The sequence below is a fragment of the Homo sapiens genome, chromosome 5, assembly GCF_000001405.40.
Source record: "Homo sapiens chromosome 5, GRCh38.p14 Primary Assembly".
Taxonomy (NCBI): Eukaryota; Metazoa; Chordata; class Mammalia; order Primates; family Hominidae; genus Homo; species Homo sapiens.
Window position 1 is genome coordinate 11,408,848 of NC_000005.10, and position 15,172 is coordinate 11,424,019.

General features: G+C 36.2%; 1 protein-coding gene across 11 annotated transcripts in view; it reads right to left on the reverse strand.

Annotated features, from left to right (window-relative positions):
* Positions 1–15,172, reverse strand: part of CTNND2 (catenin delta 2) — a 932,611-nt gene that overhangs the window by 437,012 nt on the left and 480,427 nt on the right. For all 11 annotated transcript variants that reach the window (NR_109988.2, XM_017009074.2, XM_017009072.2 and 8 more), the window contains 2 exons: positions 3,188–3,222; positions 2,689–2,805 (listed from right to left, as the gene is read on the reverse strand). Coding sequence is in view for 9 of the 11 variants with exons in the window: in XM_017009074.2 (XP_016864563.1) it covers positions 2,689–2,805; positions 3,188–3,222 (152 nt within the window). In the remaining 2 variants the exon portion in view is untranslated. The remainder of the gene's footprint in view (positions 1–2,688; positions 2,806–3,187; positions 3,223–15,172) is intronic.

Below are 15,172 nucleotides of genomic sequence, written 5' to 3' on the forward strand. Positions count from 1 at the left end.
TTTGACTTACAGAAAAAAATATCATCTATTTATCCCCTCTATTTATCTCTTCTGGCATTTATTTATCTTTGACTATTTTACTTTATATTACTTTATCTCTGCATTACTATTATCGTATGCATCTTACTAGTTTCTTGCTATTTATTTACCTCTTTTAAGATTTTCCCCAAATAAGTACAACATTCTTTATTTTGTTTTCTATTTTTAATCATGAAGTTAAGATATCCTCTGAATGTGTTTTTTCCCCCATACTTCTGTTTTTACTAAAAAATGTTCCTGTTTTATTTGCTTAGTAAATGCTATGCAATTTTCTTTATTATTTCCATTTGATTCAGTAAATATCCAGAAGTATGTTTCTTAGTTTTAATATTAGTACATTTTGCTTACAATTTTATTATTTACTTTTAGTGTTGGTAGATTTTTATCCAAGAATATGGCCCTCCATACTTCTTAACTTTTATAATTGCCTTTATCTTCTAGTAGCTGGTCAATTTTTATAAATTTTCCTTGGACATATGTAACAAACATATACTATCATGCAATAAATAAAACCTTTAAAAGTTATTTAATACATGGTTATCTTAATTTGTTATTTCAACATTTTGTGGCTTTCCCTTCTAGCATTCTGTCTGATTCATGAGACGTGCATTCAAATGTTCACAATAATATTTTTCCTTAATTTCTTTTATTTTTAGTAACATTTGTTTTAATATTCACATGCTATGCTGTTTGGTGCACACATGTTCATTAGATTTGAGTATGAGCTTAACACATCTTTATAAGTTAAGACAGCTCACTACATAACTCCCATCTTTGGCCCTGCTAAGTGATTCTGTATTAAATTCCAATTTATCTCACATTATTCTTCCAATCCCACTCTTTGCATTGATTATATTTGCAGGCACTACTTTGACCATTCCTTTAATTTCAACACTTATTTCATTAAATGTTATGAATAACTCATAACTACTTTCTTTGTTTACTGCAAATTTGAACTTTTATTCTTTTCAGAGGAGAATTTAGAATGCAGCATTAGATTGATATACCTATATTTTCCCTTCTATTTTAATTTGTTTACTTTTTATTTAACTCATTAATTATTTTCTGTACTTTCCATTTATTAAATGTTACTCCTTCTCCTAAACTCGTTATCAAATATATTATTATATTAAAAAATGAGATTTCCACTATCATCTCCCCGTTTCCCAACAAGGCAAACTATTCTGTTGCTGCTCTTATTACTTGCTAATAAGATGAATGCATGTGTTTCAAATATTAATTAAATGTGTTCTAACTAGAGTTGTCCCTACAAGAGAAATATATTTAATGACTATGAGTAAAAGAGGTAACGATTAGACATTTTTCAATACAAAATACAGAGAACAAGGATAATACCAACCAATCTTTCTTTACGAATTGTATTGAGAGGATGCATATGGGTATAAATAAATCTGTGTATACACAGCAATGTTATCCTAACAGTAATGGTATTACAAAGATTATAGAGAAAATGAGCTAATCTGTAAAATAAATGGTTTTCAAGATCAGTTTGCTATCTTATCCTTATGTCTTCCTTTTGCATGACGAAGCTTAGTGGGTATTGGAGGAAATTTTATTTTTTAAATTAAGGAATAAAATGCTTCACTGGTTTTTGATGTATTACCAGGATAATACCTATTTTAATGATGAAATTTTTAGTCTTTTGTGGAATTTTATTAAAATAAGTAAAAAGAATTTTATGATTTATTTAAAGGAGGTCCATTTCAACTCCTAATCCACAACCATTCTGGTTGAAAAATACGTCATTAAATGGAGAGAAAGTGATTTTTAAATGTTCTATGGAATTAATATAGCAATGCAAGATGGTTAAATACAGAAATGTAAGAATTTATTGCATAGTACCTTAGCATAGTACTAAATAGATAATACTAAGAGTACACCATTTTTTTTCCTATTTTGTCATATAATTGCTGCTTTTTATGATTTCTACCAACAGTGATCTCTATGAGTAAAGCACTGATAGGTAATTTTTTTTTTTTTTTAAGACGGAGTCTCCTTCTGTTGCCCAGGATGGAGTACAGTGGCGCAATCTCGGCTCACTGCAACCTCTGCCTCCTGGATTCAAGTGATTCTCCTGCCTCAGCCTCTTGAATAGCTGGGACTATAGGCACGCACCACCATGCCTGGCTAGTTTTTTTGTAGTTTTAGTAGAGATGGGGTGTCACCATATTGGCCAGGCTGGTCTCAAACTCTTGACCTTGTGATCTGCCCATCTCGGTCTCCCAAAGTGCTGGGATTACAGGCGTAAACCACCGCGCCCGGCCAGCATTGATAGTTAATTTTAAGGCAGACATTGTGTTGACTACAAAATATATGATGAGTTCATAAAATGCAGTAGTCTAGATATTGAAAAGGATATCAGAGAACAGTGAGAATCACCAGTATGTCAGTAATTAGTGCGAAAACTAGATGCCAACTACTGACTTAAAAGAGTTTATACTCTAATGTGAACTGAGGTGGGATAATGTGGGAAGGGAACAGATGGGACGGAGTGAAATGGATAAAACAAGTATAAAAATATCCTGAAATCCTCATTTGATATGGCTCATAACAGTAATGATATTAGAAATAATGACATAATACTCCTATATTTCAACTATCTTCAAGCATAACTGCCACGTGACTTACTTTCACCTGTAGAATAATCCTGTGGGTCAAGTATTCCTGATTCCTGTAGTGACCTAATACAGGAGTCCACCAGCTCGAGACCTGTTGTAAGCTCATCTTCGATATCTTTTTGACCATCTGAAATGAAATATTTTAAAGTGATGAACAAACACATGGTATATTATTCTTAAAGATTTAGGTTATCATTTAATCATGGAAAATATCCTAGTCAAATATATTACCTCTATGAAGTTTTCATTAGCTATTCCATTTTAATTTTTGGTCAACCAACATTAAAGCCAAGGTCAGCAATTTCATGTACCCTTGAAGAGCATAGTTACTACAGAATTGAAAGATTTAACTCTCAATAAATTGTGAACTATCATAACAACTTCATCTAATTTTACTATCGGGATGTTTTCCTATTACTTTTCTAAGTCTCATTCTAAAGTTCATAAGAAAAGTCATCAGTAGAGATATGTTTAGAAGTGTAAGTGTTCATCAATAAGATAGACATTACCTTGTGACTGCCACTGAAACTGCTCTTCTGCTGAACTGTAAAAAAGAAAATACAGAGATATAATGCATTGATTAGAAAAGAAAAATAAAACCCTAAAATCTAAGACACAAAGGCATATTAGGGTAGTAACAGTGGCCCCGTTGCATTTCCTTTCATTTCTTACTATGAAAAGGGATTCCACTTTGATATAATTTTAATTTTAATCCATTTGCTGTATATCCCTTTTGATTCGCAAGTATTAGCATGTTTTAAATGGACATTGTCCAGTAATTTTCAGAAGAGCTCATTTTTTACAAAGCCCAACCTGTTAGACTCATTCTTTACAATAGCTTCTCTATACATGCAGTTTTACTCAATTTTAGTTATTTTAGAATAGGATCATGTAGACTTTGTAAGGTAGCCTAATAAGGAAATAACTATCCCTTTTTTTATTAGAGAGATGAAATAAATCTTTGCCTCCATTTAGCCATATCATATTAAAATTTCCCTTTAGTTGATTTAAGAGTTTAAGTAATTTAAAAATTATAACACTTTACCACCAACTAAATACACATTTCCAAAAATCTCAATAATACATCTTATGAAATGACCCAGACGGAAAGGGTTGTCCATATACATATGCCAAAGATACTGTATAGAGTGGTTCTGTATAGGTAACAGATTTATTTTGAATGACTTATTAAATACAAAATACATAGTTTCTAAATATGAGCAATTCTTCCATTGTGTATGCAAACACTTCCTACAGGCCCCTTTTTTATATGTAAATAATCGGTGAGAAATCTACATGCTAATTCCTGAAAGACATCATTTTGAGAATGATTTTGTACACTTATTTCATGATATTTTACTCTGTTCAAGCAGCTTCTCTGAATAGTTCATTAGTTTCACAACAGCACATGGATTGTAGACCTTTAGTCTGTACCTTAGAGGTGGGTTCTGAATACATTTACGGAGAAAAAGGGAATTCTGGGTATAAATCAATGTTCAGAAAGGCCATGACTGGCGTAAATGAAAACAAGAGTAGTCCATTAAGAGACATGTGACTGTTATGGGGTATCTTGCCCCTGAGTCAATCAATATTAGGAAACTGGACAATGGTTTTATAATAATGAGAGCTGTAGACAATATTGATACAGGAAATGATAATATTTCAAATTCAGTCCAATGCAACTATTTCTTGCACAAAAAGATGTGACATTATATAATAGTAACATATAACTACAAAGTTTAGCCCTTAAAATAGAAATGTAATAAAAATGATTTTAAAAATTATAAAAACCTTTTAAAAATTAACAGGTTCACTTAGTAAGTGGAATTTAATATAAAGTAGTCCCATCTTATTATTCAAGAATCACCAATTCAAAAATCAGAACCATAGTTATCCTGGCTATTTTAATCCTCTAAGAAGTCTATGGATCATTACTTTTCAAGAATGTGAATATCAAAATACTACTGTTTAAAGATCAATCCCATTGGTCATTTGCAGAAACTAGACTAGAACTCAGGCATATGGGTTCTGAGTAATTCCAAATGCTTACTTGTGTCAGAATCACCTGTAGCATTTCTTAAGTATATGTATTTTGGGGCCCTACTAGAGACCTACAAGATGAAAAAGTCTACGGATTAGGCTGGGAGCCTGCATTGCATAACAAGCTTCCATGATGATCCTTGCGTGCTTCTAACTTTGTAAAACACTAGATACTATTTTCATTAATCATCCATTATTAATTTAGGGCTCCCCACAACTTCATTCTTCTATATTTTAAGGCTGGACAAATTCTCAAGGTGGTATAATATTTTAAGTGTTTACATGCCATGGATTTATACACAGATAGAAAACACTTCCATATTGATAGTGGGTTGAACGGAGGGCCTTCCTCTCTCAAAAGATATGTCCTCATCAAAACCCTAAGACCTGTGAATGGTAACATATTTGGGAAAAGTGCTTTTGCAGGTGTAATTAAGTTAATAATCTTCAGATGAGGTCATCCTGGATCATCCAGGTGGGCCCTAAATCCAATTACACATGTGCTTATAAGAGATAGAAGAGAGACAAAAATGGAGAAGGGCAGGCCATGTGAAAATGGGGGCAGAGACTGGAGTGATGCAGGCACAAGTCAAGGAATGCGTGAAGTCATCAGAACCTGAAAGAGGTAGGGAAGGAAACTCCCCTGGAGTATTTGTAGGGAATGCAGCCCTGCTGACACCTTGATTTTGAACTTTTGGTCTCCAAAACCATGACAGAATAAATTTCTATTGTTTTAAGTCACCCAGTTGTGGTAATTTGTTATGACAGCGCCAGGAAACAGATACAACAAAAAAGTTCTCGTGTTATGTCCTCCAGGATTTGCTATTATCTCTATACTCCTACATTCCTTCACCAGTACAGCTATTTACTAAGTGCTTCCTGAATACCAAGGCCCAGTTAATTCACAACAATCACAAATCTCTTCTTTATAGATGGGGAATAACAGATTTAGTAATGTTGAAAAACTTGGCCAAACAGCTCCTAAGGATCCCAGCAGGGATTTAAACTGATGTGTGAACTCCTAAACTCAAATTCTTTTCTTTAAACCTTTATTTCCGGGATCCATGCGAAGGTTTGTTACACAGGTAAACTCATGTCATGGGGGTTTGTTGTACAGATTATTTCATCACCCAGGAATTAAGCCCAGAACCCAAGAGTTATCTTTTCTGCTTCTCCACCTCCTCCCACCCTCCACTCTCAAATAGACCCCAGTGTCTGTGGTTTCCTTCTTTGTGTCATAAGTTCTCATCATTTAGCTCCCACTTGTAAGTGAGAACATGCAGTCTTTGGTTTTCTGTCTCTGCAGTAGTTTGCTAAGGATAATGGCCTCCAGCCCTATCCATGTTCCTGCAAAGGACATGATCTCATCCTTTTTCATGGCTGCATAGTATTCCATGGTGTATATGTACCACATCTTCTTTAATCAGCCTATCATTGATGGGCATTTAGGTTGATTCCATGTCTTTGCTATTGTAAATAGTGCTGCAATGAACATTTGTGTGCATGTGTCTTTATGGTACAATAATTCATATTCCTCTGTAATGGGATTGTCGGGTTGAATAGCAGTTCTGCTTTTAGCTCTTTGAGGAATCATCATACCGCTTTCTACAATGGTTGCACAAATTTATATTCCCACCAACAGTGTGTAAGTGTTCACTTTTCTCCTCAACCTCTCCAGCATCTATTATTTTTTGACTTTTTAATAACAGCCATTCTTTCAAAATCAAGTCATGGTGGCGCTAGGCATGGTGACTCATGCCTCTAACCCTGGCTCATGCTTATAATCCCAGTGATTTGGGAGGCTGAAGCAGGGGGATGGTTTGAGGCCAGGAATTCCAGACTAGCCTGGGCAACATAGCAAGACCTCATCTCTACAAAATCTTTTTAAAAATTAGCAAGGTTTGTTGGTGCGTGCCTCTATTTCTAGCTAATTGGGAGGTCAACATGGGAAGATTCTTTGAGTCCAGGAGTTTGAGGCTTCAGTGAGCTGAGATTGCGCCACTGTCCCTCATGCACCCCAGCCTAGGTAAAAGAGTAAGACCACTGCCTCTAAAACATTAAAAAATAATTTTTAAAAATTTGTGCAAGGAAACATGCTTAGGTTACCACCCATTTTAAGTGATATGAGTGAGGGTGTCAATGAAAGTCATTCCCAGTACTCAGTAAAGTCCAGCACTCCTCTCCTTGCAGGCACTTTGAGGAAAACACTCTGCTTAGCTCCCTTGCACATAGATGGGGTCACAAAAGCGTATGAGAGGAAGTGACAAGTGCCACTTTATGGCCAAGCACAGAAGAATAAGCATGAGGTCTTCATGCTTTCTCTCTCTCTTAAGCCCTGTGTTGAGATGCATGCCTGAGTAACTATGTGGAATGGAGACTTCTGCCAACCCACAGAGAACACAGAGCACCAGTGAGAAACAAATAATTGTTGTGTTAAAACTCTGTAATTAGAGGGCTGTCTGATCCTGAAGAATAAATGTCACACTGACCAAAACAAAAAGGTGAATTCCTAAGGCATTTCTTGCTCTTGCTCTTCGATTTCTGCAGCACAGAGTTGGAAGAAAATGTCCGGGGTAACCCTAGTACAAATAAGGTGGTGCCGATTTTATGTGCAGGTGTTGATTTTATGTTTAGGACTACACGTCATGCTATTAGATATTTATTTTTCTGTTCATCTCTATCAAATGTGTTTCAATTTTATGACACAACAGAAAAAAGAAGAAACTCTTTTTATTATAATTTAAAAAATATAATTGGAAGTGAATATAAAACTGTCTTTCCAAAGCACAGGCAACTTCCTTTTGGGCAGACAAAAAGCACTAATCACTTCAATGGTTTCCCTGATTTCTTTGGCACAGTTAAAATGCATTAAAAGTATGACTGATCACAGAGAATGGAAGTCCCAAGAGAAAGCTGGTTTGGATTTTATTTCCTTTAAGTGCACACTTTAATCTCTTAGCTAGGAGATTTTATGCAATTGCCTATTTTATGTATTTGATTCCTTGTTTTAAAAATTGCTCTAAGGTAGATGCTTTTTAAAAAGCAAACAAACTATTTATTTATTCAATAAACATGGATTATGCCTGGGTCACAGACACACTCATATCAGGTGTCTAGGAATTACCTGTGGTAAATTTTCTCTCAATTACATAATTCAATTTAATATAATAGAAACGTCATTTTTGAAGGTGTTATAACTTAAATGCATGTTCAACTTCAGGAAATAAAGTTTGCTTTTACTGCTGAAATGCTATTTTATGAAATAGAAATCACCTCTAAAGAAATAAATGTAAAAAAGACTATAGACATAATTTTGATCAGTCCATATGTGTTTGAATATACCTAAATATAAGATCCAGAACCTAGTGACTGTGAGAAAAACATGTATTTAGGACAAAGACAACCATAAATAACACTTAGCCTTTAAATACATAAAGACATCAGTGATGCTAGGAAAGAAATTTTGAAACAATATATTGAAAGCAAAAATCCTAATAGCTAATATTTATATAGGTCTCATTTGGTAGCAGACAATAGTCTAACTGATTTGTAGTTAATCTTCATATTAAAACTTTTGAGAAAGGTAATATTTTCCCATTTTAGAGATAATAAAACCAAGGTAAAAAGATGCCACGGAAGTTGCTAGAGGTCCCTCAGCCAGTTAGTAGAGAAGCCAGGGTTATGACCTTGGTTTTCTGGTTCCAGAGTCTACAGAAATGTGTGAACCACTATTCCAGTCATACATTTGGCTACATCAAAAGTAAAACCTTATGTGACTAAAAAACTCCTACCAGAAACCAAGTTGTAAAATAAGCCACAACCTGGGAGAAAATATTTGCAAGGCATATAACTTACAAAAGCTTACTTTCCAGAATATACAATGAACTCCAATGAATTAATAAGATAGAGATTTAAAATGAAATAGAAGAGAGCTCATCAGACATGCATAGCTGGTGCACAGCAAAAAAACAAAAAAAAATGTATGGCCACTGAACACATTAAAAGTATTTGAGGAATAAAAATTAAACACAAGATAACTCCTCATACACCACAAACTGTCCAAAAATTTGAAAGCCTGACAATATTAAGTGTGGGGGAAGAAATGGGGAAGTAATTCTCATACACTGTAGGTGGGAAAGTAAATTAGTGAAACACACAGGTGACCTGTGGGATAGTACCTGGTAATTTTGTACATGTAATACCTAATCACCCAGGAATTTTGCTTCTATGTAGAGACTCCAGGAAAACATTTGCACCTTTGTCCAGGAGACTTGTACAAGATTGTTCTTGCCTACATTGTTGTAATAGCAAGACAATGGAAACAGCCTATGTGTTCCAGTAATAGAAAAATAAACAAATATAATAATATGACTACATATCATATATGAGGGGTCTTCAAAAAGTTTATGGAAAATGCATATTATGAAAAATTTATTTGTGGATTTCAAATATTTGTTGCACCCAAATAAGCTGATATTAACTTGTTATAACATGTCTGAACCTGATCTAGTTTGACGCACTAACGAGGGTAAGATATCGGTTTGAAAAGAGCTCTTTTGGGCCGGGCGTGGTGGCTCACTCCTATAATCCCAGCACTTCAGGAGGCTGAGGTGGGTGGATCACCTGAGGTTGGGAGTTCGAGGCCAGCCTTACCATCATGGAGAAACCCCATCTCTACTAAAAATACAAAAGTAGCTGGGCGTGGTGGCGCATGCCTGTAATCCCAGCTACTTGGGAGGCTGAGGCAGGAGAATTGCTTGAATCCAGGAGGCAGAGGTTGCGGTGAGCCAAGATCAGGTCATTGCACTCCAGCCTGGGCAACAAGAGTGAAACTCCGTCTCAAAAACAAAACAAAACAAAACAAAAAAACAAAATAAAGAAAAGAGCTCTTGTTAGAGCAATATGAATTCTGCTAAAATTGAAGCAAGAATAAATATCAAATTTACAGGAAGCTTGGTTGGAAGAATGGCAAAATCATTGATGCCTTACAAGAAGTTTATGGTAATAAAGCCACCAGAGAAATCAGCAGTTACAAATGGATAACTGGTTTTAAGAAGGGACGAGATGATGACGAAGATGAAGCCTGCAGTGGCAGACCATCCACATCAATTTGTAAGGAGCAGGGTCGCACCTGGTTACTACTTGGATATTGGGAGAAATAGAGTTTATTCTTTCCTTTTATCTTTTAATTCCATTTGTCCACAAACTTTTTGAAATCCCCTCATATGAACACTTATGGAATAAATACTATTTGGCAGGTAAACTAAATTAGCCAGATACATATGTAGTTCTTAAAAACAAAATACAGAGAAAAAAATGGAAGTTGTCAATAAGATATGTATTGCAGGATCCCAATTATGTGATTTTAGAAACACTGAATAAACAATATTGTTTATAAATATACACATTAATACATATACATGCATCTCTCTATATATATATATCTATATAGATGTCTATCTATATATAGATATATAGATAGACATCTATATAGATATATATATAGAGAGAGAGAGAATAAAAACATATGAACTGAAAAGGTATCAAATTCAAGATGGTGGTGGTGGCTCTACAGGGGGTCAGAAGGGTGAAGAAAATGAGTCCAAGGAAGGATAACTTCCCTCCCTCTTTTATCTCCAATGTTTTATTTATGAAATATGACAAAATGACCTGAAGTTATTATGACAAAATGTTAACATTATTTTAAAAATATCTTTGATACTTGGAAGAGAAAAAATTCCCCATGATTCCTACACTTAGAAATATGCTTAGTTAAATGTTTAGATAAACCTTTGTGATTGCAGCCTTTATAATATTCTTAGCATTGTTAGAATCACTCCCAGTTTAAACTCAAATGATGCCAAACAATTCTGAAATATATAATTACAAATAATAGTGGCAACAACTGTTTAGAGATACACTAACTTCTTTTTCCATTTCATATGTGAGACAACTGACAGTGTCATTTTTACAATGTTTCAAGTTTGATTTAGTTTGAACATTTCAAGTAAGCAACCAATAATCTTCAAGTTCAGAGGGCATGAAATAGGAAGCACACTGGTGTAAACCCAAAGACAACCTTTGAGTTCCTTCACAAGTGATTTCCACCTCATCATTCCAACATCATAGCCTTAGTAACTATCTCCAGGCCATTTCTAATAAAAATATATATATGAAAGTTCAAAGCATTTTTCTTAATGCCAGGAAAAGACACAAAGCAAACCATTACTAGAGATATTCCATCTGTTATGAACCTGCTCAAATATACTCTTATTGTCTTTTTCAATTTTTTGATGCCCAAAGCATCAGTCTCCACATTGTATCATGTGGTGTATTATTGCTCACAATATCTTTCAAAATGAAATAAAGGTACAGAACTATGAGTTTTTTTGTTAGTCTGCTTTTGAGTTAAGCAATGTACCTAAAACATAAGCCAGAGAAACTACTGGGAAATAAATTGCTTCAAAACTGACCTCTGGCCAGGCGTGGTGGCTCACACCTGTAATCCCACAAGTTTGGGAGGCCGAGGCGGGCGATCACAAGATCAGGAGTTTGAGATCAGCCTGGCCAACACAGTGAAACCCCATCTCTGCTAAAAATACAAAAAATTAGCTGGATGTGTTGTCAGGCGCCTGCAATCCTAGCTACTTGGGAGGCTGAGGCAGGAGAATTGCTTGAACCGGGGAGGTGGAGGTTGCAGTGAACCGAGATGGCACCACTGCATTCCAGCCCGGGCGACAGTGCAAGACTTCGTGTCAAAAAACAAAAACAAAAACAAAAAACCTGACATTTGATTCTAACCTATAGGAACAAAGACCTTTATATTGATGATGTCCATATGACCTGACCTTGTATTTGGACAGCAAAACATTTTTAGTACATAGTTTTGCATGCAGCCCTCCCAAGAATAGCCATGGGTTGCAAAATAAAATGCCCTTAGCCTCAAGTACTGTGAAAGTGTAACATATTTAGTTAAAAATGGTGAAGAGTGATCCCCCACTGAGCTCGGCTTTAGGCCGCTGTTGCCCTGTTCCATTAGCGCATTATGTCCAGAATCACTGGTTTGGGTTGCCGAATAACTCCACTCTCCGCAGAATGTTTCGTGGAACTGACTTCCCTTTGGTCGGCTGCCTGTGGTCTCTATACTTGTCTGTGATATAATCCCAAATGAATGTCCTAATATCTCTGCCATGCAATTAGAATGCCGTTTTTCTTGCTTAGATGATATATCTTCTTTTTGCTTTAACTATTGCCATCAAAAATACAACTTGACGGCTATTATGAACATTTTTACAGGCTACAATGGATATAGCTACAGAATCTCAAAGCCTGGTATATCTTGAGGAAGTAAGGAACTGCTTCCTCTTTTATGAGATTGTTACCCAGTGTCATGCCTACGTGACACAGGTAAATTTCTACCCCACCTTAACTCTGCTTACCTTTAGGAAACTAGATCCCTGAGAGGTCAGAAGCTCCCACTTCTGACCAAACTGGCTAAGACTAGCGGGAACCAATATAGCAGCTCGTCTGACCTCTGAAGAACCTCTAACTTCATTATAATCTGATTTCCATGCTAAATGATGCTCCCACTAGCACCATGACAGTTGGCAATCACCATGACAACAACTGGAGGAAACCATAAAAGGACAAAAGGAAAGTGGTAGCTCCAGTTCTGAGAAGTTCCCTGCCCATTCCCAGAAAAGATATGAATATTCTTCCCCTTGCTTTTCATGCCCAACCCCTTCATTCAAGATACCCTACATCTGTGACTTTCCAGCTGTCACCCCTGTCACACACCTGCTTCTTGATTTCATGGCCACTGAATACAGCTTGCTCTGCTTGACGCTTACTTTTGGTTTTGCATATTGGCTTCGAGGCACCAAACAGGGAAACACCCCACTTTGAGGGGGACCGGCTTTGCTAGTAACATCATGTTGTTCAAATGGCTTATATGGCTTATTGACTATGGCTTACTCTAATCTATTTCATCACTTGGAGTACACTGTGGTCCACTGGGGGAGGGCCAAAATGGGGCCAATATGGGGAAATGGGAACAGTGGACACTAAAAAAATACCCAGGCATGGCGGTGTCTGCATCTAAGCAGCCAGACACAACCAGTCCTAGAGAAAATGGTGACACAGTCACCACAAACTCTTGGTGAGTGCTCACTGTGGCTCTGCGGATAACAAAGAGAGGGGCAGCACCAGCTGTCTATGAGTTTGCAGTCAGGTAAGGGCACAAGTAGGTAAACACACAGAACTGGGGGGCTGCTGCCTAAGGGGATGTGATCAAGGCACTTCTGCCTTACACTCTCCAAGTCTCTGTTTCCTCATTTGTAAAATAGAGATATCACTAGAATTTTTCCCATAGTGATTGTACAAAAGTTAAGGGTATAAAACACGAAAAATCCATAGAACATTTCCAGGAACATAGGATGCAGGACTGCCCCCGCACTCCAGCCGCCCAACAAAAGTTAAGCTATCATTACCACATAGAGAAGAACAGAGGCCTGAGAGAGTGCAGCTAATTCACAGAACTGAAAGATGAACGCAGGCCCACCATATGGCATTCAACTTGTCTATACCTGGGGACCAATACATATTATCAAAAATATAAGTTACAGGCTCTGTAGAATTTATATTGTCTACCTTTTTTTCCCCCACGCTAAAATGGAGAAGAAACAAAGCAGTCTGTGATTTATAAAAAAAGATGATTTGCTTTAAAACCGTAAGTTTTTAAATCAGTGTTGCTCAGGATGTCTTTCCTGGCAACTGCCACCATTCTTGCCATAGTAAAAGCCATAAAGACCATTTGCTATTTTCAAGACCACAGGAGAAAATAAATCAGAACTAAATTGCCGCTATTAATTTTAGTTTGAGGCAGGGGAAATTCATATTCTTAAGCTAATTTTGTTGGCACTGGTGACTGACAATTGTCCAAGCAACTGACACTGCAATGTGGTAACAGCTCCCACACCACGGCCTGGACACACGCGACTCCTGTGTTTATCACAGAGTACCACAACACTGTCACGTCTGCGGGCCAGCCAGCTACAGCCAAACCAGGGAGAATTCACATTAAATTCTGTTTTGTTTTAATTCCTTCAAAATAAATATTCTAGTTTCTAACAGCCACAAAGAATTAGCCAGAGGCTCAGTCACCCTAAATGTTCTGTCTACATACAAGCCAAGCTGTCACTGTGGGAAAGAAATGCATTCATTTTTTTCTTCTTCAAATTCTTTTATAGCTTCAAAGTTCATTGTACTTATATTACAAGAGACACATTATGCATAAAATTCAATATCAGAAGCAGCAACAAATGGTGCATTATAAAGTAGAAAATTCTCACACCGTAGCTCCTTCTATAGTATTCCCGGAAGCTTCTCATGCATGGGGCTAGGTATTATTTTTCAAATGCTCATAACAGTACATGAGAAATTTACAGTAAAGTAACATTTCCAAATACCAACTATGTTAGAAAATAATGTATCATAGTATCTTTGCCAGTGGGCATTCCATAAATTGGAATGTAGTAAGTTGAAATTCCAGTTGGCCAGGGGTACTGTTCACCAGTTGACCGATAGGTCTTATAATATACAGTGTTTTGAAGTACTTTCCAAACCATCAAACTGAATAGTTTGTGTAGTTTGTGTGCTTGGTGTATACTGCGGCATTCTATATGCCACAATGATACTTCTGTTTTGGTGACATTATAACTCACAGTCAGATGTTGATTAACTTGAACACTTCATTCCCTGATCCTGAGAGTGAAGAGAGAGCTCACTGCATCTCTCAGGTGGATTATCCATAACTGATATTTCTGCAGGAGAAGAGTACCTAGTTTGTTTGCCGATAGAAGTGGCATGTATATCAAGGTTCCCAGACATTTCAAGTTTCACTCTTTTGCATTCAATGTATTTTTGTTCCCAGAATTATCCCTGTTGTCGGACCATCTCAGTTAAGGCAGCTCTTTAATTTTGGAGACCTCTCTGAGAAAATGGAGGGGGTCAAGCTTATGTTTTCCTGGCTTCCTGTGATTCTATGTGTGATATTATGTGCATGAGTGTGTGAATGTGTGTTGTTGCATACATGTGTGAACTCACTCCTCTGTTCCTCTAAAATACACTGATGTGCTCATAGCTTCTCTTTCCTCTGCTTTTGCTTCCTACATATGTCATCTACTACAGGTATATCAAACCCTGAATATTGGATTTGACTGCATTTGCTATGATTTTATTAATGTAAGCAAAGCTAACACCTCTTAGACATGTAATGAAAATACAAATGAATAACCATTGCCGATTTCACAATAAAGAAAAAATTTTTTTTTTGCTTTTTTTGAGGATCAACAGAAGATTTGTAAAAAATAAGTTTCAATCTTAGCGCCTTTATACAGCAGAAACCATGTAATATTCATGTACAACAATTTTTTGTGGTGTTATAGATCTTTACT